At 53.2% G+C, this 27,693-nt stretch overlaps 3 protein-coding genes across 23 annotated transcripts in view, besides 5 other annotated features; 2 read left to right on the forward strand and 1 right to left on the reverse strand.

Moving 5' to 3' along the window:
* Positions 1-2,339, forward strand: part of PCBP2 (poly(rC) binding protein 2) — a 29,061-nt gene extending 26,722 nt beyond the window's left edge. For all 7 annotated transcript variants that reach the window (NM_005016.6, NM_001128911.2, NM_001128913.2 and 4 more), the window contains one exon: positions 583-2,339. In NM_005016.6, coding sequence (NP_005007.2) covers positions 583-619 — 37 coding nt within the window. In that variant the 3' untranslated portion in view covers positions 620-2,339. The remainder of the gene's footprint in view (positions 1-582) is intronic.
* On the reverse strand, positions 846-22,716 carry MAP3K12 (mitogen-activated protein kinase kinase kinase 12). 9 transcript variants are annotated; one of them, NM_006301.4, is made up of 15 exons: positions 20,604-20,635; positions 8,432-8,605; positions 8,124-8,332; positions 7,616-7,799; positions 7,233-7,424; positions 6,494-6,652; positions 6,233-6,391; positions 5,434-5,542; positions 5,088-5,197; positions 4,784-4,900; positions 4,526-4,663; positions 3,742-4,366; positions 3,476-3,546; positions 3,118-3,388; positions 846-2,457 (listed from the first exon to the last, which is right to left on the reverse strand). In NM_006301.4, exons 2-15 carry the CDS (start codon positions 8,566-8,568, stop codon positions 2,359-2,361), a joined length of 2,580 nt encoding a protein of 859 aa, NP_006292.3. In that variant the 5' UTR covers positions 8,569-8,605; positions 20,604-20,635; the 3' UTR covers positions 846-2,358. The 9 variants fall into 9 exon arrangements, with proteins under 9 accessions (NP_006292.3, XP_016875445.1, XP_011537027.1 ...); XM_017019956.3 differs by lacking the exon at positions 20,604-20,635 and adding an exon at positions 14,876-16,113; XM_011538725.4 differs by lacking the exon at positions 20,604-20,635 and adding an exon at positions 21,205-22,716 and having other exon boundaries at positions 8,124-8,605.
* Positions 3,532-4,045: an enhancer, noted in NCBI's record as "H3K27ac-H3K4me1 hESC enhancer chr12:53876139-53876652 (GRCh37/hg19 assembly coordinates)". NCBI's record gives its function as "activates a minimal SCP1, AML or CMV promoter by ChIP-STARR-seq in naive H9 embryonic stem cells {active_cell/tissue: H9 hESC(naive)}" and the evidence as "EXISTENCE:reporter gene assay evidence [ECO:0000049][PMID:30033119]".
* Positions 14,055-14,304: a silencer, noted in NCBI's record as "silent region_4514". NCBI's record gives its function as "represses an Ori minimal core promoter by ATAC-STARR-seq in GM12878 lymphoblastoid cells {active_cell/tissue: GM12878}" and the evidence as "EXISTENCE:reporter gene assay evidence [ECO:0000049][PMID:35858748]".
* Positions 17,482-17,776: a silencer, noted in NCBI's record as "tiled region #1043; K562 Repressive DNase unmatched - State 8:EnhW". NCBI's record gives its function as "represses a minimal TATA promoter and a strong SV40 promoter by Sharpr-MPRA in K562 cells {active_cell/tissue: K562}" and the evidence as "EXISTENCE:reporter gene assay evidence [ECO:0000049][PMID:27701403]".
* Positions 20,752-21,001: a silencer, noted in NCBI's record as "silent region_4515". NCBI's record gives its function as "represses an Ori minimal core promoter by ATAC-STARR-seq in GM12878 lymphoblastoid cells {active_cell/tissue: GM12878}" and the evidence as "EXISTENCE:reporter gene assay evidence [ECO:0000049][PMID:35858748]".
* Positions 22,095-22,394: an enhancer, noted in NCBI's record as "active region_6423". NCBI's record gives its function as "activates an Ori minimal core promoter by ATAC-STARR-seq in GM12878 lymphoblastoid cells {active_cell/tissue: GM12878}" and the evidence as "EXISTENCE:reporter gene assay evidence [ECO:0000049][PMID:35858748]".
* On the forward strand, positions 22,100-27,608 carry TARBP2 (TARBP2 subunit of RISC loading complex). 7 transcript variants are annotated; one of them, NM_004178.5, is made up of 9 exons: positions 22,100-22,178; positions 23,197-23,361; positions 24,204-24,306; positions 24,890-24,985; positions 25,574-25,646; positions 25,875-25,992; positions 26,312-26,439; positions 26,826-27,027; positions 27,168-27,608. In NM_004178.5, the coding sequence occupies exons 2-9, from the start codon at positions 23,202-23,204 to the stop codon at positions 27,323-27,325; spliced, it is 1,038 nt and encodes a 345-aa protein (NP_004169.3). In that variant the 5' UTR covers positions 22,100-22,178; positions 23,197-23,201; the 3' UTR covers positions 27,326-27,608. The 7 variants fall into 7 exon arrangements, with proteins under 7 accessions (NP_004169.3, NP_599150.1, XP_047285441.1 ...); NM_134323.2 differs by lacking the exon at positions 22,100-22,178 and adding an exon at positions 22,460-22,638 and having other exon boundaries at positions 23,192-23,361; NM_134324.3 differs by lacking the exon at positions 22,100-22,178 and adding an exon at positions 22,763-22,885 and having other exon boundaries at positions 23,192-23,361.
* Positions 27,609-27,693: the final 85 nt, after the last annotated feature.

Consider the following 27,693-nt stretch of genomic DNA (forward strand, 5'->3'; position numbering starts at 1 on the left):
AGTATAATTCTTGACCCATAGTTACTCTTTTTACATCTCTTTTTAACATTTTTTTTTTTACCTTTAAAACGGTATTACCTCATAATACCCTACACATTGATAGAACTCCAGGGCTTTAAAGTAAAGGCCTTGAGTTGTCTCAGCATTAAACCCTTGAGACTACTCTCAGATGACTCTTTCTTTCCTAAACTGGTATTCTGTCAGCAGTTTGGGAGGAGCCAAAGTGAGCTCAGCAATAAAGAAACATTGCTTCTGTGTATTGTGAGCACTCTTTAGAGGGGCCTGTTTCCAGAAAGTACACTCCTTGGTTAGCCCACCATGGAGGTGGAACTAAAAGAGAACATAGTTTGAGGGACATTGGATAACAAGGGCTGTTTCCCTTGGTTCTGAGGTAATAGACCTCCACATGCTTGAATTGCAAGGATTAAAGGATCATGGTACTGGTAAATTTAAGAAACCTTAAAATGTCTCCCTTGGTACTCCAGCACTGGTTATTTACTCTTCACATTTCATGAACCAGGTAGAGATGAGGTGCAGCTGAGCACTGGGGAAACTAACTGAGTTCTTGTTTCTGTGTTACAGGCTTTCCTCGGAGACGGGTGGCATGGGGAGCAGCTAGAACAATGCAGATTCATCCATAATCCCTTTCTGCTGTTCACCACCACCCATGATCCATCTGTGTAGTTTCTGAACAGTCAGCGATTCCAGGTTTTAAATAGTTTGTAAATTTTCAGTTTCTACACACTTTATCATCCACTCGTGATTTTTTAATTAAAGCGTTTTAATTCCTTTCTCTGTTCAGCTGTTGATGCTGAGATCCATATTTAGTTTTATAAGCTTCTCCCTGGTTTTTTTTTTTTGGCTCATGAATTTTTCTGTTTGTCATGGAAATGTAAGAGTGGAATATTAATACATTTCAGTTTAGTTCTGTAATGTCAGGAATTTTTCAAAAAAATTAAAAGATGGACTGGAGCTTTTTCTTTGTGAATAGAAACTGGATGCCACAGTGATTCATGTGGGTTTTATTCCTCTTGTCTTGCTGTTATTTTTGTACCTTTTATCCCTCAAAGGACCCTTCTTGGGTTTTGAATGGAAGCCTTTATTCCGGTTAAGATGTTTTCTTCTATTTTACCACTTCCATCTTTTTTTGTGGCCCTCGATCCTATTTTTCCCTGACTCCATGCTTGGTTGGCCCTTATAAAACTTGTGCCCAAAAGATTGAGGATTAGACTTTCCGAGGACTTACCTGTCCTAGGGGAGTAGGCAAGCACTTCCACTAGGGAGGGGGTGGGGGAAAGGAATGACACATGACATACATGGCATACACATTAAGCAGTTGATCATATGTCTGACTGGGTTCCAGTTTCTTGGGAATGTTGGTCCCCTTGTTCAGGCTTGCATATTTTAAACTAAAAATTTCAGTCTATTGTTTTTAGTAACTTCATTTATAGTCCTCCATAACAAGTTAGAAGGATGTATCTGCTACCATTTATTCCTATAATTTTAGAAAGTTGGGGCTTGACATTATACTCATTTAGTGAGAGTAGATGCAAAAAAGTGGAGGGGCAGGAGAACTTCTCCAGACACCTCAGATAAAGTCCGGAGCCCAAGGCTTTATCTTAACCATGTATGGTACCCCATTCATTCATCAAGAAAACCCTCAACAGCTGGGCCTGCATGGAGTGTTATATTTCAAGGTTTTTCACAGGGGTTACAGTAGGACAGTCCCCACCCCAATCAGGCACCAGGATAAAAGCAGGGACTTAAACAGCACCCCGGTTCTTCAGCCTGAGCCATCACATGCTATCAGTCTCCTAACCTCCCCCTGGGCCTTAAGACAGGGCTTGGGCAGAGAAGATAAATGGTGGGACAAAAAAATGAGTTACATTGCCACCTGAGAAACCTCAGAGGGGAGGACCCAGCCTTAGCCTCCCTCCTCCCAAGTGCAAAATGTGTAAACAGAGTAAACGGAACAGAAAAGTGCAGTCTAAGTGGTTTTCTCTCCTGCCCCTCCCACCGCCCCTCCCCCCACCCCCTATTATTTGGGGATAAAGAATATAAAGACAACCCTGGCTTTTCTATTGCCTTGTTGCTTGCTGAATATAAGGAATGGGGTGGGGCAGGAAGGGGCTTGCCCTTAGCCACAGCTCTACGGCTGTGCCTCATTCATTTCCACAGCTGCCAGTGTCCCTAGAGTTTATCAGGTGAATTGGTCAGGGGATCAGTCTCCCTCGAGCCTGACTTACGGCTGGGACAGCCCCATCTTTCTGTTGATTATGTGGCGCATATATATATATATATGTATATATATATAATTTATATAAATATTTCTCTATGTACAAGGAATACGAGTGGCTTTCATGGAGGGAGGGAAGCTGGGGGCCGCAAGGCATCAACGCTGTTGGAGTTGTCCAATTCAGTGCTGTCACAGTCTGAGTCCTCAGAATTGGGAGGGCCCTGTGAGAAAGAGTAGAAATGGAGTGAGATTCCTTGGGGTTCTTTGCTGGGGTCATTTTAATAGCCAGTGGCTTACTGATTTGTTTTTTAAGACAGAGTCTCACTCTCGCCCAGGCTGGAGTGCAGTAGCACAATCTCGGCTCACTGCAACCTCTGCCTCCCAGGTTCAAGCAATTCTTCTGCCTCAGCCTTCTGAGTAGCTGGGACTACAGGCATGCACCACCACGCCCAGCTAATTTTTGTACTTTTAATAGAGATGGGGTTTTACCATATTGGTCAGGCTGGTCTTGAACTCCTGACCTTGTGATCCACCCGCCTCGGCCTCCCAAAGTTCTGGGATTCCAGGCGTGAGTCACCATGCCCAGCCAGCTTACTGGTTTTATTCCTTCCAGATTTCAGTTGCTCAGGCCATTCTCCAAGGTGTCAGACTCCTTTCAGAATCATTCCCTGGCTGCAATTTATAGCTACATGCAAGCTACTGGTCAGGCATCGTAATAGATGCTCTGTGCAAGAGGCTTCTGAAATTCCACCACGTGGATATTTGCTCTTTATGGTACTTTCTGGCCTGTGCAGCTGTCTCCCCAAAAGCTGTTAAAAGACAAGGCATCTGCTTACAGCTCTCCCTGTTCAATATCTGCTTTTTGCTGTTGTGCCACTCACCCGCTCTCTGAGAAGTTCCTGGTGTGGAATGGGCAGGGAGCTGGGTTCAGGGCCAGGGATGACCTCTGAAGGAGGTGGGTCCAGTGGGATTTCTGAGCCCTGGGAGCACATGTCATCAGACCGCTCATCTGGCCGCTCATCAGTGTTGGTGCTGCCAACTTCAGGTGTGCCACTGGGGGAAGGTTCACTAGCTGTGCCTTCCTCCCCATCTGATGGATTCTCTGAGCTGAAGGTAGATAGTGACTGGCGCATGTTCAGGCTCTGAGGCCACCTACATGTTGAAGAGGGGGATTACAGCTTGGTTCTGCCCCTAGCAGAAAACAAGAATGCCATTAATTCTTGTAATGCCATCACTTACCTCTGGCTTGATGTCAGCTCTACTTCACTGTCTACCTCTCCTTCCTCCTCTTCCGATGAGATGCCACGTTTCTGCAGGAGAGATGGGGTGGGGGGGGTCTGATTAGAAGTGGAAAGAGGTCACTAAGAATCCAGGAGAAGGGAACATAGTTACGAAGGGTGAAGTAGGGAATGGCTTAAAATTGAGCATAATGTGGGGGATTAGACTTGGACCCCAGGGAGGATAAGGAAAAAGGGAAAGAGCTTGGGAGCCTTCCCATACTTTACCTGACTTCGGGTGACGGCAGCCCTGTACAGCAGTGCAGCTGGGGTCAAGTGCTGGGACCCAGCCCGGCTTCCTCCCCGGCCTGAGGTCCCTTCCCTTCCAGTTCCCAGAAGCCCCACACCTTCACCAGGCCCTACTGGAGGAGGTGGTTCCCCTTTGGCTCCCCCAGGTGAATCTGGGCTGGTGGAGCCAGGGGCTGAGCCCTCACTTGGTGGGGTGTCACCCCGGGCCGGAGGTGGTGAGCCAGGATCCCCAGCTCCGCCTGTGGCCCCCCGGCCCCGGGACCCTAGTGCTGCTGACAGCAGGTCTGGGGACGATGAAGACATTTTGCGGAGCAGGAGGTCATGATGAAGCCCACGGAGGGCGGGAGGGCAGGCCTCCCAGGCTGAGGGTCCCCCTCCTAGGCCCCCTGGGCTTCCTGGTCCTCCAGGTTCATGGGGTGGCACAGCTGTACGAAGCCCAGGCAGGTCCCCACAGCTCCCCTTGGCGCTGGCCTTGCGGTGACGGGTCTTGCCACGGCGACTCCGTCCTGGTGAGGGGGGGCCCTTAGGACACCCAGGAAGCCCCACCCCACTCAGGGCTGCATCTAGTTTAGGGAGCAAAGACTCCGTCTTGAGGATATCTGGCCTGGAAGAAGAGGAAAAGTAAAAGGTTAAGACTGCCAAATCTATGTACTCAAAGCACTCCCTAACCTTGGACACTAAAGTACACATCTCCCTGCTAATATACCTGTTGCCACTTCAGTATCCCTCTTGCCATATTGGAACCACAGTACTCATGTCCCACCTTTTGCTATGGGGTGACAGCTTCTGTGGCACATTCCTCTTCTTGATAAGCTTCTCCATTGTGTTTCCATGCAGGAGGCCCCGGGAAGGGTGTGGCTTCAGCAGGCCTGGGCACCTCCGCTCTAAAGCTTGCTCTCGCCTAAAGATCCAGGCACCTTCTCAGCTGGGCAAATGACCAGGAAGGGGCACCCCAGTCTCAGTAGGACCTCTAAGGCAGGCACAGCTCCAGGGCTTGGTGCATAAGGACAGGTAGGGTTACCTGAGCAGCTCCCTCTCCTTGAGTTCCAGCTGCAACATGAGGGCATTAAGTTCCATATACAGGTTGTTGGCTCTCTCCAGCTTCCTTTCATAGTGCTCCCTGATGTCCAGGGCGTGTCTGCAACGGGCAGAAAGGTTCCCCAAGGTGAACTGGGTTCACCTAGGGCCATAACAGATCTCAGTCTCAGAATTCCTGTCCACAGTCCTTTCGTAGTCCTTCCACCCGCCCTGGGGCTGGGTAGGAGCTGACTGGGTGCATAGTCCTTGCTGTTAGTAAAATCACCTCCCCAAGCACGGGAACTCACCTGAGCTCCTCCCTCCTCCTCATCACCAGTTCCTCTTCTAGGCGGTGCAGACAGGTCCCTTCTGACTTAATCTTTTCAAAGTGCAGTTTTACTTCTTCCCGCCACTCTGCCTATGGGTTGAGAGCAGATGAAGAGTGAGAGCCATCCCTTCACCCAGTGAAAGGCTCTGCAGGTTGCCCACACCACTGCCAATGTGTGTGCTGGAGCAAAAAGGAGTGGATTGACTCAGCCCTCTAAGAGCCAATCTCTTCAGTCCCACTCAACCCATTTCCCAGCCTCCCCCTCAAATAGCATCATCTCTGCAAAGAAGGGGAGTTAGGTATTTATTTTCCTACCCACAGCACACCTGGGACTTAAAGTAAGTCTCCTGGGGTGTGGAGAGTACATCAGCTGAGGCAATGTCCAGATGCAGCAGGATCTGTCGGAATGATGGGCGATTTCGTGGTTTGCTATTCCTGAAAGGAATGGAGTTAGGAAGGAGAGGGGAGAATTTGAGGGAGGATCAGATAGGAACTGGAGCATCCTTTCCCAAAGTGTGTCCTGGAGAATCCAATCCTAGAATGTACTCTGTGACAAAAGAACTTATGGTCAACTGTCTCTAGAGAATATTACACACTATTCATTAGTGTGTCAAAATCCTGCAGTAAGGAAACCTATTGAACCCCATATTTTCCAACTTGTCTCCCAAAATAAAAGCCTTTTCTGAATAACTTCATTGAAGGAACCACATTTTGGGAAATGCTCAGTGACAGATTAGCAATCGTCAAACTTCCCTGGGTCTAGGTTCCAAATGAGGGTCTGGGGTCCTTTCCTTCTGTGTTCTAAGGTTGTTTACTTGAGGCTCAACCAACCATGCTTGGTGGTTATGCTGCTCCTTCCTTGTACTTGTATGCACTCACTGGCACTTCATGACAAATCAGGAATGCAGATATCGTTAAGTGTATTTTATAGATGAGGAAACAGGTTCAGAGTAGATACCAATTACCCCTGGTGACTCAGCTCAGAAGGTAGCATGAGCCTGATTCAGATGAAAGTCAGTCTCTTTGAATTAAATGTACCCCTGCCATTTATTGGTCAGTCCAGCCCAGTACTACCGTGCTTCTCAACTTCTCCAGGCCCAGTATCCCAGCCCAGACCATCCTTACCAGCACTGGCGAAGCAGGATCTTGAAACCATCTGGGCAACTGGAGGGCACGGGCAGATGGAGACTGTTGCTTCCCACACCCCAGATAATGGCTGAGGAATCTACGTCTTTGTAGGGGATCTCACCAGTCAGCAGTTCCCATAGCACCACGCCAAAGGACCTAGGGATGAGGGGACATCACTTGTGCTCAAGCCCTAGAAGTTGCCCACAATCCCCCCAGGGCTGGCCACCCACTCTTCTCAGTTTTCAGCCTAGTTCTCACCAGATGTCGACCTTCTCAGACACAGGTTCATTGCGGATCACCTCAGGGGCCATCCAGGCTACTGTCCCTGCAAAGGACATCTTGGTGCTCTTGTCACTCAGCTCCTTGGAAGTGCCAAAATCTGAGATCTTCACCACATCGTCGTAGGTGATTAGCATGCTGGTAAAGAGTGTAGTCAGCTGGGGTCCACACCCCTCCACACACCTCATCTAACTCTGCAGCAACTCTGCCTTTCAGGTTTTTTTGTTTGTTTGTTTGAGACGGAGTCTCACTCTGTCACTCAGGCTGGAGTGCAGTGGCTCAATCTCGGCTCACTGCAACCTCCACCTCCTGGGTTCAAGTGATTCTCCTGCCTCAGCCTCCTGAGTAGCTGAGACTACGGGCACTCGCCACCACGCCTGACTAATTTTTTTGTATTTTTATTAGAGACGAGGTTTCACCATGTTGGCCAGGATGGTCTCGATCTCTTGACCTTGTGATCCACCCGCCTCGGCCTCCCAAAGTGTTGGGATTACAGGCGTGAGCCACTGCATCCGGCCTGCCTTTCAGTTTAAAATCATTTGGGACACTCAAAGGTGAGGGGCTCACTACAGCCCTTCTGAGATGGGACTGTCACTTGGAAGAGGTTTCTGAGATGGCCACATGGACCTAGGGCATGGTTTGGAAGCCGGGAGAAGGCCACACTGACTTGAGTGGGTCACCTGCATGCACATCTGTTGCTCCCTGCTTGCTTACTCACTTGGGTGACTTGAGATCCCTGTGGATAATCTTGTGCAGGTGCAGGTAGTTCATGCCACCAGCGATGCCCATGGACCAGTCAACCAGTAAGGAGGGGGTGACAGGGCGGCCAGCCCGCAGTACCTCATACAGCTGGCCCTGGGCGCAGAACTCCATGAGGATGCAGTAGCAGGGAGCCTGGGTGCACACACCCCTGGGAGCCAAACAATGGTATGAAGGCCTCAGCTGGCTCAGCATTCACCTGATTCATACCTGGAACCCCCATTCCCACCCATTCCACCTATGGATCTCCTCTGGGGAAGGATGGGGTAGGTCCCACTGCCCAGGAGGGTACCAGGCCTTAGCATAGTATCCCCAACACCCAGCCCCTGCCCTGGACCTCACTTGAAAGTGATGATGTTGGGGTGCTTCAGCTTTCGCAAGTGCTTGATGTCGGTTTCTTTGAGGTCTCGCACCTTCTTCACAGCCACCTCCTCCCCGTGGAAGCGCCCCAGGAAGACAGCACCCTGGGCCCCTGAGCCCACCCACTGCAGGTCCAGGATTTCCTCAAAGGGGACCTCCCAAAGGTCTGTGGGCAGGAGGCACAGTGCCACAAGCCTCAGAAAGAGCCACACTCAAGGCCAGGGACAGGATAGCATTGGGTTGGCTGAATTGACTTAAGGAGGGTGAGGCAGAAAGCCAAAAATAGGCCAAGAAGAAGGTTCGAGGGGACAGGGAAGGAATGAATGGGTGGCCTTAAAAGAAGCTGGGAAGTTAGAGGCTGATGGATGGCTAAGGGACTAGGGCTGGGCCATGGGGAGGGAAGGGACCATTGCGTGACTTTAGCGGAGCTGACCAACAGATCTCGGGCTCAGGGAAACAGAGAGGAGGCTCCCACAAGGACGTGGCCTACCTTCCTGCTGCTGCTTGTGCTCAGTGGAGTAGGCTTTGCCAATCATGGTCCAGACAGGGCGCAGGCAGCCAAAGAGGCCCTCAAGGAAGCCACTGCCACTCTGGCACTGCAGTCGCACCTCGTCAGCTCGAACTCTGGATGCCCGACTCTCAGGTGACCCAGCTGCTCCCCCTGGGCCCCCTGCATCCTGCTCATGTAGCTGCAGGACACTGTTGGCAAAAGGCTCAGGGGGCGGCTCTCCACCTGGGGAGGGGCTGGGCCCTCCCCCACCCTGCCCACCAAGGGGTACCACATCTCGAAGTACACACTGGGTAGGCGTCAGGTCCTTCTCGGGAGTGCAGTCAGAAGTGTCTGGGTCCAGCTTGCGCATGGATGCCTCACTTAGGGTAGACACAAAGCCCCCAAAGGAAGGAGAGGGTGTTCGGGTCTCATGGAGGCAAGCCATCGCCTCTGGCCCCTGGTATGATGGTGAACACTGGGCCCTGTGGGAATGAAGGAAGGAGGGGCTGGGCTGTTAAAGCCCCAGGACTGCCTGCTCAGGACACTTATCCCAGAGGCACAGACTGGGGTGCTGGGTTCACAGTAGCCCCGCTGGAGGTAACACTTGTGGCTCCGTTTCCCATGGCCCTCCAAATTGCACCTTGAGCCATCTTAGGAAATCTGATACACTTGGGCTTCCTCTCAGGCATGTTAGTAAGGCAAGTAATAGGTAGACAGGTATCGTACCTGAGTATCATTCTCAGGTAACAGCCCCACGTGGGTACACACTGGTAAAATATGTCTCAAATTCAAGAGTAATGGTAACAGATGAGTTCCCTTCTCCCTGTAAGATGACTAATTCATTGCTGCAGCACATTTTTTTCACCCGAGACTCACAGGCACACACAGGTATCAGAAGGGTCTCACATTTACACCTTTACCTCGGGGTCAACCTCAGGCACACAATAGTAACACCTAGACCTCCTTCACATTGAAGCACACACAGGATGCTGGTAAACCTTTCAGACACCCTTGGACAGCATTCTTGAGCTGCCTACACACAGGCGATGCACCCGGGCCTCCCACCCAGGTACTTACACACGGTACTACTGAGGCCCTCTCAGGAACACTCAACTCAGGTGAGAGCCTCATTCTAAAACACACCCCTGGGCCTCTCCAAGGTAAGTGAAGGTTGTAACCACAGAGTTCTGTCCCCCCAGCACAGGTGGGGAAAAAGGCAGAAGCAGCCAATGGGGATGCAGACACTGTCACAGAAGGCCACTGCTTCATCCCCCTTGGCCCTCCCTTCAGTCCAGCGGCTCTCCCAGGGGTCAAACAAGGTCTTGTCTTCTCTTTCCTCTTCTCCATTGCCCCATCCTCTGCTCCCCAAACTTTCCAGGCAATGGAGATGTGTCCCAGTTCATAGCTGGGTGCTATTTAAAAAGCAACCATTAGGCCGGGTGCAGTGGCTCACACCTGTAATCTCAGCACTTTCAGAGGCCGAGGCGGGCGGATCACCTGAGGTCAGGAATTCGAGACCAGTCTGGTCAACATGGAGAAACCCCGTCTCTACTAAAAATACAAAATTAGCTAGGCGTGGTGGCACATGCCTGTAATCCCAGCTACTTGGGAGGCTGAGGCAGAAGAATTGCTTAAACCCGGGAGGCTGAGGTTTTGGTGAGCCAAGATCATGCCACTGCACTCCAGCCTGGGCAACAAGAGCGAAACTCTGTCTAAAAAAATATATAAATAAATAAAAAGCAACCATTAAAAAACCTGAATCTGGCACGGTGTGTTGGCTCATGCCTGTAATCTCAACACTTTGGGAGGCTGAGGCAGGTGGATCACTTGAGCTCAAGAGTTTGAGACCTTGGCTGGGCGCAGTGGCTCACGCCTGTAATCCTAGCACTTTGGGAGGCTGAGGTGGGTGGATCGCTTGAGGTCAGGAGTTTGAGACCAGCCTGGCCAACATGGCGAAACCCTGTCTCTACTTAAAAAGAAAAAATTAGCTGGGCGTGGTGGTGGATGCCTGTAATCCCAGCTACTCGGGAGGCTGAGGCAGGAGAATCACTTGAACCCCAGAGGTGAGGTTGCAGTAAGCCAAGATCACACCACTGCACTCCAGCCTTGGGCGACAGAGTGAAACTCTGTCTCAAAAAAAAAAAAAAAAAAAAAAGTTTGAGACCAGCCTGGGCAACATGGCAAAACCCTGTCTCTACCAAAAATAGAAACAAACAAACAAACAAAAAACAACAAAGCTGGGCATGGTGATCCTGTGACTGTGGTCCCAGCTCCTCTGGAGGCTGAGGTGAGATGATTGCTTGAGCCCAGGTGGCGGAGGTTGCAGTAAGCCACTGAATCCCAGCCTGGGCGAAGTAGCCAAACCCCGTCTCAAAAAACAAACAAACAAACAAAAACCCTGAATCCTGACTTGCTTCTGCCACATAATGGCTATGTGACCTCAGGCGAGCTGTAGTTGAGCCTCAGCTATACAAAGGAATAAACTGGCTGTCACTAAGGCACAGCAAACCCTTAATCCTACACCAGACTTGTCCAGAACTTGGCCCCAGGCGCCATGCTGGTCTCCCAACTCACTCCACACTTGTCAGTTACCAGATCCTGAGATTTGAAGATTCCCAAGAACAAGCATCCCTCTAATTGTTCCTCATAGCTAGCAGGGTCCTTCCATGAGCCCCTGGGTTAGTCTGGAAATGATTGCCATACATTCTGAATTGCAGTGGGGGAGGAGTGGCAGGAATCTCTACATCTAGAAGGGTTCAGTAGATGATTACACAGGCACACAAGGAGGCTTGGGAAACTCTGATAGTTCTTGTAATAATTACCAGGCCTTTCCCTTGAAGACTTTTTCCTGGGGGGTGAGGGTGGTAGGCCTGGAATCAGCATATTTAACAAGCACCCTAGATTTGTAAAGCTCTAACCCAGTGCATGCTATTTTCCAGTCCCACTGTTACTGCCTTAGTTCAACCCTCATTAGCTGTCCTCACCTGGCCCAGGACAGCTGGTCTCCAAGTGCCCTCCCTAACCCCAATTCTCCACCCAGCTCCTTCAGAAGGATCTTTCTAAAACAGATTGGGGGCCAGGTGTGGTGGCTCATGCCTGTAATACCAACACTTTGGGAGGCTGAGGCAGGCGGACCACCTGAGGTCAGGAGTTTGAGACCAGACTGGCCAACATGGTGAAACCCCGTCTCTACTAAAAATCTCCAAAATTAGCCGGCCGTGGTGGTGGGCACCTGTAGTCCCAGCTACTCAGGAGGCTGAGGCACGAGAATTGCTTGAATCTGGGAGGAGGAGGTTGCAGTGAGCCGAGATCACGCCACTGTACTCCAGCCTGGGTGACAGAACAAGACTGTGTCTCAACAACAACAAAAAACAGATTGGGCCAGGCATGGTGGCTCACACCTTTAATCCCAGAAATTTGAGGGGCCAAGGCAGGTGGATCACTGAAGCCTGGAAGTTCAAGACCAGTCTGGGCAACATGGTGAAAAGCCATCTCTACAAAAATATAAAAATTAGCCGGCCAGGCACAGTGGCTCATGCCTGTAATCCCAGCACTCTGGGAGGCCGAGGCGGGCGGATCACGAGGTCAGGAGATCGAGACCATGCTGGCTAACACGGTGAAACCCTGTCTACTAAAAAATACAAAAAATTAGCCGTGTGTGGTGGCAGGCGCCTGTAGTCCCAGCTACTCGGGAGGCTGAGGCAGAAGAATGGCATGAACATGGGAGGTGGAGGTTGAGCAGTGAGCCGAGATCGCACCACTGCACTCCAGCCTGGGCAACAGAGTGAGACTCCATCTCAAAAAAAAAAAAAAAATTAGCTGAGTGTGGTGATGTGCACCTTTAGTTCCAGCTACTCAGGAGTCTGAGGTGGGAGGATACCTTGAGCCTGGGAGGGTGAAGCTGCAGTGAGCAGTGATTGCACCACTGAACTGCAGCCTGAGCGACAGAGCGAGACCTTGTCACAAAAGAAAAAACAACCACCCCCACCAACAAACTTGGCCACGTCGGGTTTTTGAACCAGGACACCCAATGATAATGGCTAACTTAAGGAAGGCTTACGGCTGGGCGTAGTGGCTCACGCCTGTAATCTAGCACTTTCGGAGGCTGAGACAGGAGGATTGCTTGAGCTCAGGAGTTCGAGACCAGCCTGGGCAACACGGTGCAACCCCGTCTCTACTAAAATACAAAAAATTAGCCAGGTGGGGCGGCGGTCGCCTGTAGTCCCAGCTACTCGGGAGGCTGAAGCAGGAGAATCACTTGAACCCGGGAGGCGGAAGTTGCAGTGAGCCAAGATCACGCCATTGCACTCCAGCCTGGGCGACAGAGTGAGACTCTGTCTCAAAAAAAAAAAAAAAAAAGAAAAGAAAAGAAAAACAGGCTTACTAAGTATGTTAGCTTCTGGTAAAGGTGCATTAGCACTTTGCATATTTAATCCTCAAAACTGTAAGCTGGGCATTATTAGCCCCGTTTTACAGACTAAGGCATAGAGGTTTTTTTTTTTTTTGAGATGGAGTCTTGCACTGTCACCCAGGCTGGAGCTCAGTGGCACGATCTCCGCTCACTGCAAGCTCTGCCTTCCGGGTTCACACCATTCTCCTGCCTCGGCCTCCCGAGTAGCTGGGACTACAGGCGCCCGCCACGACGCCCGGCTAATTTTTTCTGTGTTTAGTAGAGACCGGGTTTCACCGTGTTAGCCAGGATAGTCTCGATCTCCTGACCTCATGATCCGCCCATCTCGGCCTCCCAAAGTGCTGGGATTACAGGCGTGAGCCACCGCGCCCGGCAGGCATAGAGGTATTAAATAATCTGCCCACAGGGCCATAGCTATTAAGAAGCTCAAGCTCTGCTGGGCGCAGTGGCTCACGCCTGTAATCCCAGCACTCTGGGAAGCCGAGGTGGGCGGATCGCTTGAGCTCGGGAGTTTGAGACCAGCCTGGGGAACATGGGGAGAGCCTGTCTCTGCTACAAATACAAAAAATTAGCTGGGCGTGGTGGCGCATGCCTGTGGTCCCAGCTACTTGAGAGGCTAAGGTGGGAGAATCGCTTGAGCCCAGGAGGTGGAGGTTGCAGTGAGCCGAGATTGTGCCACTGCACTCTAGCCTGGGTGACAGAGCAAGACTCTGTTTCAAAAAAAAAAAAAAAAAGAAGAAGAAGAAAAAGAAGCTCAAGCTTCACCCCCAGCCTGGAAGGCGCTTCTCATCTCTATCCAGGTGTCACTTTATCCTGGACGTCCTTCTTTCCTGATCCGCTCTAGGTTAATGCGCCTTCTGGGCTGACACAGCCCCACTATGCGTCCTCTATCATGGTTCCCATTATACTGGACGGACAATGTAGTCGGGCGTCTGGCTCCTTTGAGAGCCTGGACAGCCTTTAGAGAGATGACTTCGCATCACAAGGGAACCATGGCTTGCAACAGCACCTGGCACGCAGAAGGTGCTCGGTAAGGTGGAACCACTGCTCTACTCACCCCGGAGGATCGCCTTAAGCCCCGCACACTCTCTCTGCGCGCGCGCGCGCGCGCAAACACACACACAAAACTAGCTCCCTGAATCCTCAGAAGAGCCAGGTGAAGGAGGTACTACTGGTCCCATTATATTCTTGAGAGAACTGAGGCCCAGAAAGCACAAATCACACTAAAGTTCAGCTTCCAAATCCCCAACATATCCCACGCGTTATTTGTGGCTTCAAGAGGTAAGGTGTAGGTTGCAATGCAAATTACAGACAAACACAGACCAAGCAAAGTGCCAACATATGGGAGAATTTCGTCTGGAGGACCCAAGGGATTTTGCCTGCCCCCCAACCTCCCTCCCCGCCCCCACCACCTCCCACTCCGCCGCAACCCCGGGCTTCGCTTCTGGACCACCCAGAAACAAGGCCCAAGACTCTGGGACGCTCTCGCCTGGCAGGCCAGGAGGGAGGGATGGCGGGATTGGAGCCCTCGGGGAGGAGCCGGGGCCGTGCCCTGGACAGCTTGGTCACCAGCAATGGAAGGACGAAGCCCAAGTCAGGACCGCTGAAAGTGGGGAGGAAGGGGTTACGGCCACAGCGCCCCCTCCCCCTTCCCGACCTCCTTCCCGGCCGTCACGTGGCGCGTGGCTGGGGCGGGGGCCGCGGCGGCGGAAGGGGGTGGTCCGGGTGGGGAAAGGGAAGGGACACGGCCGGCTGGGGGAAGCGCTGGGCGCTGCGGCGTAACCATGACGACTGGGCCTGAGGCGGCGCGTGAAGTCACCAGGACAAGATTAGCCCCGGATCACGTGAGCGCGACGTGGGGGCGGGGCTGTGCCTGGGCCCCGCCCCTGACCTGGGCCGGCCCAGGTGGCTGGTTGCCGGGATGGCTGCGAGGATCTTAGGTGCGGACCCCCACCCAGCGGTCTGCCCCATCTGTGTTCCCTTCCTTCCCCTGCCCCCGCATGCAGAGAGATCTTCGGCTGAGGCGTCTGGTGTTGGCAGGAGGGGACTTGTGGGGTTGGCATTGGGGGTGCAGTACCACAGGGAAGGAAAGCAGGAAATGAGAGAAAGGGAGACAGGGCACAGAAAAGGCGAAAGGTACAGCTAGGAAGGAGGAAGGAGCTGAGACATATACAGACACCGGAGCAGCGTCAAGCGGAGTCAACCCCGAGAAGGATGGCTTGAAAAGCTGTTTGGAAAAGCAGAGGACCCTGAGAAAATGGAGATGAAAGGGGAGTGAGAAACACGGAGAACACCCATCTCCTTTTCTGTCTAGAAGCCGAGCTTTGAGTAGGCACAGCACCTGGCTTTTTAAAGGAATTTTTCAGCCGTCATCTGGTTGTTTGACGACTAGGTGGTTTAGGCATAGAAAGGGTGACATGCTCAGAGACACTTGCAGCCAGCCGAGCCTCCCTCCAGTTCACCAGGCTTCCCCAGAGGCCCTTCTGGTATCCAGGGCCAGCAGCTGGGGAGAGAAGGAGAGAAGCCATTTCACCTGTTTGTCTTTTACGGTAGTGGGGATAGCTGAAGAAGTAGGAGATGGGACCAAGGGAAAGATCTCAGGCTAGTTGACGGCTCTTCCACATTGACCTGGAGTGAGGGAAAGCTGCTGCCCCTGGGAGCTATAGTAAAGTGGAGATTCCTCTCTCCCAACACACACACACATACCCCTTTTTGTTTCCTTTATTTCTGACCTGCCAGCTGTGTCCCACTGCCCCCTGGCTGGGCCTTGGCGCCAGAGCTTTGGAGGGGCGTCTAGGATGGCTAGGAGCCCCTGGCCCAGACGTTCAGTCACCCTGGGGGAGGGTAGCTGTCTCTCCGTTATCAATTATGCAGAGCATGGGGGAAGGGCAGCAATGTGACAGGAGGGTGGGTCTCTCTGTCACTCACTGTCAACCATATCTACCAAGTGTTGATGGTGCTTCTGCCTCACATTGGGTGAGGGGACAGAATGATCTCTAAGCCATACATGTGCCAGGGGAGGAGGCTCTTTGGACACCCAACAGGCCCTAATTCAGTGCTTTGCTGGTGGCCCCAAAGTGACTCCATAAGGAGGCTACAGGGTAGAGTGGGGTAGGAAGTCACCCCCCATCTATCCCACCTTCTAGGTTCTCTGGCCTGAGATTTTGGAAGCCTGTGGCAGGTAAACTCTCTGAATTCTCTCTAGCTCCTTCTTGTATAACAGCAGAATGTCAATGCTAAGCTGTTTGGTGGTCTTAGGGGCTCAGTTCAGAGGCCAGGTCATCTGCCTAAATCTTGGGCTCTCACACTGAGTGCTCTCCACTGTCTGAGACCTCATTTTTTTACTCAGGAAAAGGAGAATGATTCCCTTTCTCTCGTGAGTGGGGGTAGGAAGGGGAGTCTTCAAAGGGAAAGGAGACCCAAGACTTTGGAGTCCTAATTCCACCTCTGCAAGCTTTGAAACCCTGAGAGGATAAAGGTCTCTGATCAATCGTGGCCATGCCTCCTGTCCCCTTGGCTGCAGCTCGTATTGTTTTTGAAACAGGGTCTCGCTTTGTTGCCCAGGCTGGAGTGCAGTGGGATGATCACGGCTCACTGCCTGCAGCCTCAACCTCCTGGGCTCAAGTGATCCTCCCCCTTCAGCCTCCTGAGTAGCTGGGACTACAGGCACTCACCACCACACCAGACTAAATTAAAAAAAGGCCGAGCACAGTGGCTCACGTCTGTAGTCCCAGCACTTTGGGAGGCCCAGGCGGGCGGATCATGAGGTCAGGAGATGGAGACCATCCTGGCTACCATGGGGAAACCCCGTCTCTACTAAAAATACAAAAAATTAGCTGGGCGTGGTGGCGGACGCCTGTAGTCCCAGCTACTCGGGAGGCTGAGGCAGGAGAATGGCGTGAACCCAGGGGGCGGAGCCTGCAGTGAGCCGAGATGGAGCCACTGCACTCCAGCCTAGGCGACAGAGCAATACTCTGTCTCCAAAAAAAAAAAAAAAAAAAAAAAAAAAAGGCCAGGCGCAGTTGCTCACGCCTGTAATCCCAGCAATGGAGACCATCCTGGCTAACATGGTGAAACCCCGTTTCTACCAAAAATACAAAAAATTTGCCAGGCGTAGTGGTGGGCGCACCTGTAGTCCGCCGCCACTGCACTCTAGCCTGGGCAACAGAGCGAGACTCCATCTCAAAAAAAAAAAAAAAAAAAAAAAAAAATTGTAGAGACCATGTCTCATTCTGTTGCCCAGGCTGGTTCCAAACTCCTGGGCTCAAATGATCCACCAGTCTAGGTCTCCCAAAATGCTGGCATTACAGGTGTGAACCACTGTGCCCTGCAGCTTGTTTTTATTTTCCATTTTTCAGGATCCGCAGTCCTGGCCCCAGGATCCCAAGAGGAAAAGAACTATTGCTTTTCTTAGTGCCCTCATGAGGGAGAAATGAGTTCCCCTGAGAACTTGGGGGAAAACTGGAGATCACCCCTAAATTCGGGTCTTTGATTGGTAAATCAAGCCCTGAGACCCCTAGCTGCCACACTTCCAGTGGGGTGGGCAGTGAAGGGGTTCAGGGAAGGGAGGGACAGTACTATTTAGGAAAAAAGAATCAGCTTCAGATTTGGAGAGATCAGAGCTAGAATCCCAGTTTTGCCACCACTTAGTTTAAGGAATGTAATCTCTCTGTGGTGCCCAACCCACCCTGCTGGGGGTAGTGAAGGTTAAGTAGGGTGATAGAGGGGGTGCAGGGAGCAGCATGTTTCCTCCTTGCTTTGTCTTCCTGGTTGGCTGGACACCAGGTCTTTGTGGATCCTGGAGAGGCTGAAGACTTGGTCTCTGACCTTCTGCTTTCCCAGGATAAACTGTGATTTCAGGTTCCAGTAGAACCAGGTCACAGTGCTAGTGATTGTGCTGGAGTCCCCAGTCATTCCTCTACCAGATCACCAGTCCCTCCTCTGTAAATCCTGCCATTCTGTCTCCTCTGGACTAAGGGGGATGGCCTGATTTTCTGCACCCCATCCTCACTCCCTGGCCAGTTGTCTCTGGAATCTGCTCTCTTAAGCAGCTGTACTGCTAAGATCCTCCCTTTGATCACGTGGCCCTGGATCACCCCTCAGCCTTACCCATGGAGGCCTCGGGGAAGGGGAGGGCAAGAGCAGGGTAGGATGGGCCTCAGGAGTCCCTCCTACCTAGGACCTCAGATAGACCAGGAAGAAGTTCAGCGGATGTTAACAAATATAGTTCCTCAACGGGATGGGCATTTTTAAAAATCTGGAAGAATAAATACCAAAGTATAACAACAGTTTCTAGGTAGGTGGAATTGTGAGTGTTTTAATTTTCTCCTTTGGGTTTACGTATATTCCTAGTATTTCAGTAACAACTTTGAATTGCTTTTAAAGTAAGACATAAAATTTAAATTGTAAAAGAGAAAATAAGATTGATGGACTGCTCATGCATTCCTTCACTTAGCTTATTAGGACAGTTGTGCAATAGGGAGAGGGTAGGTGGTAGAGGAGAGAACACAGGCCTCAAAATCAGAGTGGCTTCCTGAGGTCTTGTCTCTGCTCCTGGCCAGTTGGGTGACCTGGCCTGAGACTTTTCAACAAACCTCAGTTTCTTCATTGCTAAACGGGGACAGTGGTACCTATGTCCCACAGTGGCAATGCAGTACATAATGTGGTGGGTAAGAACACAGGTTCTGGGTTACACAGACCTGGGTTCAAATCCTACCTCTTGCCACATACTAACTTTTTTACTTTAAACAAATTACTTAAGTTTCAGTTTTCTCCTCCATCAGAGATGATGATAACACTATCTCACTTGGTCTTGTTACGGGCATGATTAAGAAAATCAAAATAAAGTTCTTGGCCCAGGACCTGGCACACAGGAAGCTCTCTATAAGCATTAGCCATATGGAAAGTGCCTAACACACACTTGTAAGTTTTTTATGAATGTGATTCCCTTCCCTTCTTTCCCTTGTTCTCTCTCTCAAAGCAAGTGCCAGTAGGGAGGGTATGGGTGGAAAGGGAGGTGGAGAAACAAGAGGGAAAAAAAAGACCAAAGAATGAAGAAACCAAAGGGCAAGGGCTCTATCCTGAATGATCTTTAGCCTCCTCTGGAATCTGGTCACTGTCACAGTCTCCTCACCTTCTCCACGCACACATATGACCCCAGTCCTTCTGGGAGCCAATGAACCAGACAGACCAGTCTCTGTGGCCAGGCCCTCATGAAGCCCCTATGTCCCCTGCTGGCATCATCTCAACAGTATCCTCCTTCTTCCCAGCATCACCTCAGTCAACAGTGTGAGTGAATGCATGAGTGGCTGGCGTGAGGGGCAGACATTTCCACCTCACTGGAAGAAGCATGGCAGCTGGGGGTCCCAGGGCTTGACTGGTGTAGGGCTGAGGACCTGAATGTAGGGGTGATCTCCAGTCCACCCTAGCAAGGACTTCTTACAGGGTTGATTCCTTCTTTCTCTCCAGATCCAGGCAGGGGAGAGGGAGGACTGTGCATTACGAGAGTCCGGGCTGTGAGTGGTAGAACCAAGAGTCCTCTTCCTAGAAAAGCCTGATCCTACCACAGTGTCACCACGAGGGGAAAAGCAATTGGTTTTTAGAAGGGTTCTGCCCTCTTCAGCTATAAGGAAGCCTAGGAAATCCTGAGCCATGTCTAACTTCTTGCCTCCTCTGTCCATAACTGGGATGGATATTTAGCTGGTGTCTCCATGTTGAGAGCTGGGGTTTTCCTAACATTACCCCAGTTGACAATGGGAGTGAGTGGATGAATGATACGCTTGAGGGGACACACTTTTTTTCACCTGTAAGTGTGAGATAGGAGGGAGTGGGGCCCTAAAGCTCAGAGAAACTTCAGTGTCTGGACAGGAAGGCTCAGGGGGCACTTGAGTCCTATCCTTCCTAAATCCTTTCTGTTAGCCTTAGCTTGGTAGGACCCTCTGGCTGAAACTCAGAGCTCCTAGAGCAATGGAGTCCACCTTGAGAACTGCAAGGGAAATGTGTTTAGAGGGATGCACTGACTGTGGCTTGAGACGACTCTGGGTGGGGTGAGGAGACCTCATGTGCACTCCCTTCTGATTGGAGGCCACTCACCTACGCTCCTCTGAAAAAGGCAGCAGATGAGCATCTACAAGGTAGGACTCCTCCCTTAATTCTAAGGGACACCTCACTGTTTCCTCCCACTGTCTACAGAGCCTTGACTCTTCCCTCCTCTCAGTCAAGGCCTTGGTTACCAGCAAGTCTCAACTCTTGTTTATTTTTAAGCCAATGAGTTTGAGGAGTGTTTGTGGGAAAGGGAGGAGGTTTTTGGAGGGCCTGACTGGGGGAGATGGGTTAGGGGAGCCAGAGGAGATGGAGAGAAAGAGGAGGGAGAAACCCACACGTGAATGGGGGAGGGGAGGATGCAACAGCTGGATGGAGGTGAATGCCACAGCTGGAGGTGAATGCCACAGCTGGAGGGGATTAGGAGGATCACAGCTTGAAGGGGAGGGGGACCAACGCCTGGGCATGCAGGAACAGGTGCTCTCTGACTAATCTTCAGGTCCAGCCTGCTGTGTGTGTGTGTGTGTGTGTGTGTGTGTGTGTGTGTGTGTGTGTGTGTGTGTGTGTGTGTGTGTGTGTGTGTGTGTGTGTGTGTGTGTGTGTGTGGAGATGGTGGGTATATCAGTCCTTGCCCTTCCTTTCCTTCCCTAGAGGGGGCCAAAACTCTCCCTCCTCCTTCCCTCTCTCTCTTCCTGAGGATGAGTGGGAGGAGATGTTCTCTTGCCCTCTGTCCTTTAAGTCTGTCCCCCAATCATCCTCCACCCCACCCCAATACGGTCCTTTCCAGCTCTGGAGGCCCTTCGTCTCCAAGCTGGGCCGCGGCATCCCTCCGCTCCATTCCCTTCCTTCCCAGCCCCACAGGCGTCGGGTCCAGGTCCCCAGTTCCTCCATCCCCACAGCCTCAGCATCCCCACGCCATCACCCCGCACCAGGCCACATCTGCATCCCGACCCTCCCTCCACGCCCGGATCCCAGGACCCAGACCCATCCCTGCCCCCCACCCCCCCACAACTCGGCCAGGCTCTCACCTCGGGGGCTCCGCGGCCGCAGCACAAAAGGCGGCGCTGCTGCAGCTCCGCTCCGGATGCTGCTCCCGCCTCCTCCTCCTTCTCCTCCTCCTTCCCTCCTCCCCCCGCTGCCCTCCACCGGACCCGGGGCGCTGTCACAGGCGATGCTCGTGCGGTGTCCGGATGCACGGGTGTCAGCTTCAGCTTTCTGCCCCCACCCCCCGACCCCTAGCCCCGTCCCTGCTCGGCTTGAACTCCCGCTCCTTCCAGGGCCCCCGCCCCTGGCCCCCCGGGACGGACACGCCCTGAGCGGGGGATGCTGCGATGGAGCCGCCGGCCTCTTAAAGGAGCCCGCTGCTGCCATCCGGCGCGCTCCAGGCTCGTACCTGGCCCGCCTGGGCCCCGCGCCTCCCTGCTGGCGGTGTCCTATGGAGGTCCCACCTCAGGCCTCAGGCTGATTCCACAGGAACCCCCTATGACCCGTCTTATAGACTCCTTTCTACATCGGAGAGAGCAGCCCCTCAGTTGGGATCCCTAGCGCTCTGGCATTGCTCCCCCTATCATACCGATCTTGCCAGCTCTCCTTCCCTTGATTGTCACCACTCACTCCAATTTCACCCACTTGGAATTCACTCGGCTCTAGGCCCCATCCTCCTCCAGTGTTCCTGGATGACCCCTCATTATCATTTCAAGATTCCTCTGGACCTCCAACCCCGGCTCAGAGTAAGACATCTTTCTTGACCCCTTCTCAGAACACTCATTAGAACCTTTTTTTTTTTTAATGTGGTCTCTCCCTTTCTCTCTCCAAGGTCACAAGATTTCCCTCAGCCCAGTGGTTGTGCAACTTTGGGGGAGGAGGCAATGGGGCTCTAGGACTAAACAATGCGCGTCTGCTCAACACCCAGATCAGTTGATTAATCTTAGGCGGCCAAAATTCACTTTTGCTCTCTTCAGCTGAGAGACCCAAGACTCATGGAAGAGGGAACAAGACCACCAAGGTGCCTAGTCCTTCTAATCCTGTCGTCCCACATTACAGCCTGATTATCAGGCCCCAGAGGTTTCCTCGCCAGTTAAAGAGAGGTTCACTAGAGCGGTTCTAAAAAGGTTTCACAAAAGAAGCAACACCTGAAGGGAGGTGAAGGACGACCTAGGAAAAGGAAGCAAGTTCTGTGTCACGGAGGCCCAAGGGCAAGGGGCTTAGGCTGTGGGTTGAGGGGACTGTCTGAGACGGACTTAAACCTGCACCAGCTCCAGAGCCCTGCGGAAACAGAGATCGGTCCCCTCCGGCGTCTAGGTAAGGCCCACCCTCCCAGACCGCAAAGAGCCAGGATCCGACGGCAGCCTCTCCGGACCAATCACAACCTTCCTTCATCAAGGAGGCGGGGTCGGGGGGGGCTGACTTTTCCTTGTCTCCGCCCCTTTAGTCGAAGTAACCAATCTCAGTGCACCTAGGGGAAGTAATCGCAATGGGAGTAACCAATGACGCCATGAAGCTTCTCGTGCGTGCTTGACCCTGCCTCTCCAGCTGCGACACAGATGGCGCGCGGGCTCTTGGGTTCTGTAGTTTTCTCGCGATCCAAAAGGCTCCGTGCCCAAGTGAGTCCTTACCGCCTCCCTACCCAGCGGCTTCCCCTCCGCTAGTACGCATGTCCACAGCTTCACGGACCGGGAGAGAGGGGGCGCGGAAGGAAGGAGGCGGGACGGTATTACAAACAAAAAAATACGGCCTTCTCGAGAAGCGACGGCGGAGGGCCCGCTCCTCCCAGAAGGCGGTGCAGCCTGCCCGGGCGAGCCACGCACGCAGAGGGTTGTGGGGCGGATAGCTCCCCTCCAGATGGAGGCTCACGAAGTAGGGTGGGCGGGGGACTCCATATCCCAGCGTGCCCCGCGGCGGGCCCTACCGGCCGCGACTCCGGGCTTGGCCCCGGCCCTAGCTCGTCGGCTGTGTATTGGGGCGCGTGGAGGCTGCAGTCACGGTGGCGCCCGCGGGGACGGAGGAGGGAATGAGTGAAGAGGAGCAAGGCTCCGGCACTACCACGGGCTGCGGGCTGCCTAGGTGAGCCGTCTCGTACCGATTCCTTCAGGGCGAAAAGCGTGGGGCCGTGCGGAGGGAGTAGCGGCGCGGCCCCAGCATGCACCTGGCCTGAGGGTTGTTCCCGGCAAGCACTGGGGCAGTGGGCAGTGGTTCCCGGCGTGCACCGGGGCAGTGGCTGCTGCCTCCAGCTCTAAATAGTTTGGGGTTGGCCCGGTTCCCAGACTGCACTGGAACACTGGGCTTTATGCCCCCACATTCAGTGCATTTGGTGGGTACTGGGTTCCTGGCTTGCACTGTGTCAGGGGGTATGCACTTTCAACCTGCATTGGGGCACAGGATCGTGCCCACCTTAACTGAGGCAGGAGCAATGCATTCTTCCCCCCTTGCTTTGGGGTAGTGGGCCCTACTTTTCCAGCCTGCACCTCCACTTGGAACCCAGCCAATGGATGCTAGACTGTCTGGGGTTCCTTGGACCCTATGTCCCCCATAATGTGCCTAGGTCTGGTATGGAAGTGCTTGGCTAGGTGGGTGCAGAGAGGGGAGGTGTGATGTGGGTCTGTGCCCCTTCCCCCAGTATAGAGCAAATGCTGGCCGCCAACCCAGGCAAGACCCCGATCAGCCTTCTGCAGGAGTATGGGACCAGAATAGGGAAGACGCCTGTGTACGACCTTCTCAAAGCCGAGGGCCAAGCCCACCAGCCTAATTTCACCTTCCGGGTCACCGTTGGCGACACCAGCTGCACTGGTGAGGAAGGCTTGGGCAGCCTGGCTGGGGTGTGCATTTGCAGGTCCCCATGGCTTTGTTTCTTGGAGTCTCTCTCTTCACAGTCCTTTTCTCCAAGGCCAGTGAGGGAAGGAGAGATTTCAGGGGAAAAGCTACTGACTGGATTGGGAGAACAGGGCTGTAAGAAGGTGGGTAGGACGTGGGAGAGTTAGAGGAGCGAGCAGGACTCCCACAGTGATCTGGCAGATCCCCATCACCCTAGAGGAAAAGTAAGAGAAGATAACTGAAATCCCAGTGGAGTATTTGGGGGAGTGAGTGCCTGGCGTGCTGGGCTCTGTTCCCGGTGCTTAACCAAATTCCCGTTTAATTTTAAACCTCAGTCTAACCAATGATTGTAGGTGGTAGTATCCGCCCCCCCGACTCCTCCCCCCGCCCGCCCATGTTGAATATGAGGAAACTGAGTGTTTGAGATAGTAAATGGCTGGTGCATGGTCACATGCCTAGTATGTGGCAGAGTGGGGCTTTTACTCCAGAGCCTACCCTCTCTTATTCCAGCTCTCTGTATTTATTGAGGGAAAAGAAAGTGCTTTGCAAAGGAAATTAAAGCATTTGCGCTCAGAAGTCCACCCAAGGCGTTTGAGCTCAGAAGTCCTGCTTGGCATGGCTTAATTCTGGAAGCTAACGGAAAGATAAGGGCTCTTCCTTCCAGCAATTAGTGAAACACTTCCAGTCTTCAGCAGGGGGAGGTTGGTCAGAAGGGGCTTGATTGATTCCCTCTGGCTACGAGGAGAGAGGCTGTGGGATGCTGGTTTCTTTCCCGTCCTTTCAGTGACCTCCAGTATTGCCCATGCCCCCTCTCTCAGGTCAGGGCCCCAGCAAGAAGGCAGCCAAGCACAAGGCAGCTGAGGTGGCCCTCAAACACCTCAAAGGGGGGAGCATGCTGGAGCCGGCCCTGGAGGACAGCAGGTGAGGGAGGAACCGAGGCATCCCAGAAGCCCTTCAAGGAACCCAGGCCCTGCACCACCCACTCTGCCCCGAGGCCTGGCCAGGTGACACTTAGCCACCCTGACCTGGCCTCTTCCTGAGAGTCCCTCTGGACCTGAACAGGGTTTTCCAGGGCTTCTGCTGCTATGAAGAATTCTTGGGGTGGAGGGGTTGGTTAGCCCCATAGAGGGGTTGTGGCAGTAGGTTGGGGCCTGGGTTAGGGAGGGAGAGGGGTAGAGGCTTGAGGCTAAAGGGAGTTACTCCCCAACATACCTCCTTGTTCTAGCAAGATGTCCTTCCTTCACGCGCAGGTTGGAGTTTGTTGCTCCTCTGGTTCTTGGGTACAAAGATACCCTCTTCTCTGAGACTCTCTTTTCTCAGTCTTTTCGCCGGTGTTTGGCAGCAAAGGATCCGAGGAGGAAGCTGTTGGTTGAGCCTCCCTGATTCTTTGGCTCAATTTGGAAGTTCTCTTAGGGGATTGGGAGGTCAGGAGGACGTGGGTCCCCCACCCCTCTCTTCCCCCTATACATGGGTGTGAATCAAAGGCCCCCTTCCCCTCGGGAAGTTCTTTTTCTCCCCTAGACTCTTCACTGCCTGAGGACATTCCGGTTTTTACTGCTGCAGCAGCTGCTACCCCAGTTCCATCTGTAGTCCTAACCAGGTATCTGTGTCCCCTGACTGCCTGAGGTGGGTGGAGGAAGGGGTTCTGGTTTTTGGTCCCTCAGTCCTTGGACCCAAGCTGGTCAGGCATGAGGAAGTCTGAGAATAAACAGAATGGAATAGTTGGGAACCAGAACTTGAAGAAATCACAGCAGCTGGTAAGCTCTTGGGACAAGAGGTCATTTGTGATTTTCAGACAGCCTTATGAATGATGTCCGACCATGTTTAAGGGTCTTGCAGGCCCCATTTTCTTCTGGGTTGACCACATGTCAGTTCTGTGTTTGAGGCCCATCAGGCACTTCTGGGACTGGAAATACAGCTCTTCTCCCACTGTCCTGGCTTAGATGATACCCAAGTGTTCCAGAATGGAAATGGGCTGGGGCCTGGAGAAGGCCTCCCTTGAGTGGGAGGGGGAAGGAAGCCGGCTAGAGCAGGAGGAGCAGGCTAGATGTGTGGACAGACAGCTCCCCACCCGGTGGAATCGGGAGATGGTAGTCAGGAATCTAAAGTAGTGGTTAGGTTTGGAGCTCATGGGCAGGCTCAGATGGAACCCTTCACCTCAACTTTGGCCCTGTGCCTTTTCCTTCAGGAGCCCCCCCATGGAACTGCAGCCCCCTGTCTCCCCTCAGCAGTCTGAGTGCAACCCCGTTGGTGCTCTGCAGGTGTGTCCCATCCTCATTTCCCATGCATGCCTGTCTTCCCTTGAGCCAGGGGCCATGAGGGAAGGCTATGTGTGTTTGGGGGTGGGGGCGGTTCCTTGTACTGAGGCCCTTTCCACCCCCCTCTCTCCTTCCTCTCACCTAGAGTCTGAGGCTCCTGCGTGGGGACCAGCGTGGGTGTGAGAAGCCTTTTTTCACTCAGCCTCATGCACCCTGTGTCTCCCTTCCAAGGAGCTGGTGGTGCAGAAAGGCTGGCGGTTGCCGGAGTACACAGTGACCCAGGAGTCTGGGCCAGCCCACCGCAAAGAATTCACCATGACCTGTCGAGTGGAGCGTTTCATTGAGATTGGTAACTGGGCAAGAAGGGGTTCTCACAACTCCTCTCCCGCAGCACTCTGGCCCCAGCCACAAAGCAGCTCCTGGCCTCACTCTGCTACACCCCCTGCTCTCTTAGCTTCACAGTCCCTAGCTCAGCCCCTTCCTTTTAGCTTCTTGGCACCCTATTTGTCCCCTTCTCTCTGGCTGACCAGGTTCTCACGTGCATGGGCAGGTCTTGAGTTCCCCTTTCCAGTTGACATTCTGGGGGGACCCTCAATCCAAGTATGACCTGGGTGGAAGCACTGGGTCTGTGGGGAATCATAACCCAGCAGCCCTCTCTCCACATGCAGGGAGTGGCACTTCCAAAAAATTGGCAAAGCGGAATGCGGCGGCCAAAATGCTGCTTCGAGTGCACACGGTGCCTCTGGATGCCCGGGATGGCAATGAGGTGGAGCCTGATGATGACCACTTCTCCATTGTGAGTGGCTCATGTGGGCCGGGCACCGTGGCCCATCCTCCATGCCAGGGCAGGGCTCCAGGGACTTGGGTCTGTGACTCAGCAGTGAGCCTCTCTGGGCCCTAGGTCTGCTTCTGCCACAGTTTTCCTACCAGACCCAGGGTTCCTGGGGCCGACTCAGCCTTGACTGTAGGCCCGCTCTGTAGCTCTGTTACTGGGGTGAGGAGGGATCCCTGGCCATCTGGCCCAGGGCCTGGTAGTTAGAAGGGGCCACCCAGGGATTGACTGGGGGGAGGCAAGCTGGAGGAAGCATTCTTTGTGCTTTGTTCTCCTTTGACGTTGAATGTCTCAATGCCTGGGTCCCACAGTCTCTCGCTTCATCTTTCTCACTGTTCCCATCTTGACAGGGTGTGGGCTCCCGCCTGGATGGTCTTCGAAACCGGGGCCCAGGTTGCACCTGGGATTCTCTACGAAATTCAGTAGGAGAGAAGATCCTGTCCCTCCGCAGTTGCTCCCTGGGCTCCCTGGGTGCCCTGGGCCCTGCCTGCTGCCGTGTCCTCAGTGAGCTCTCTGAGGAGCAGGCCTTTCACGTCAGCTACCTGGATATTGGTATGGCTAGCTGGGGAGCGAGCCAGGGGATGGTGGGGGCTGGACCGGAGCAAGTAGAAGGGGGTGATGATAACGTGAACGCACCCCTCCCCAGGGCTACCTCCCCCAACATTGCCTCCCTCCTCTCTCTTGCTCTCCAGAGGAGCTGAGCCTGAGTGGACTCTGCCAGTGCCTGGTGGAACTGTCCACCCAGCCGGCCACTGTGTGTCATGGCTCTGCAACCACCAGGGAGGCAGCCCGTGGTGAGGCTGCCCGCCGTGCCCTGCAGTACCTCAAGATCATGGCAGGCAGCAAGTGAAGCCCCAGCTGGACTCATGGATGTGCACCCTTTGCTCCCTGCTCTTTCTGCCTCTGGGCTCATGTATCTGCGCAGCTCTGGTACCCTCTGTGGGTGCCATCTCTACCTCTGACACAGACTGCCTGCCTTGAAGCTGAGAAGGCACAGGGCAAGGAGCCAAGGACCACAGAGCCTCAGCCAGCCCAGGATCCGTCCTCATTTTATTGGTGATGATGAATGGGAATGAAATCAGGGGGCTGTCTACTAGAGCCTGGAATAAATATGCTGCTTTGTGGATTTTTAAGCCCTTCTCTTCTGTTTCCTTGAGCAGTGTGGATAGCAGAGGAGGTCACCACATTACTTTTGTGTGCCTTCCCTGAGCTCCTGTT

The sequence above is a fragment of the Homo sapiens genome, chromosome 12 (genome assembly GCF_000001405.40).
Source record: "Homo sapiens chromosome 12, GRCh38.p14 Primary Assembly".
In the NCBI taxonomy this organism is placed as follows: Eukaryota; Metazoa; Chordata; class Mammalia; order Primates; family Hominidae; genus Homo; species Homo sapiens.

Coding starts and splice junctions, on each gene's coding strand:
- MAP3K12 (XM_011538725.4), bottom strand. CDS start 8,568: ATGGCTTGCCTCCATGAGACCCGAACACCCTCTCCTTCCTTTGGGGGC. Junction 7,425..7,615: donor CCCAACATCATCACTTTCAA/GTGAGGTCCAGG, acceptor TTTGGCTCCCAG/GGGTGTGTGCACCCAGGCTC. Junction 4,664..4,783: donor AAGGAGAGGGAGCTGCTCAG/GTAACCCTACCT, acceptor CTGGATCTTTAG/GCGAGAGCAAGCTTTAGAGC.
- TARBP2 (NM_134323.2), top strand. CDS start 22,586: ATGAGTGAAGAGGAGCAAGGCTCCGGCACTACCACGGGCTGCGGGCTG. Junction 23,362..24,203: donor TGGCGACACCAGCTGCACTG/GTGAGGAAGGCT, acceptor CCCCTCTCTCAG/GTCAGGGCCCCAGCAAGAAG. Junction 24,307..24,889: donor CCGGCCCTGGAGGACAGCAG/GTGAGGGAGGAA, acceptor CCCCTCGGGAAG/TTCTTTTTCTCCCCTAGACT.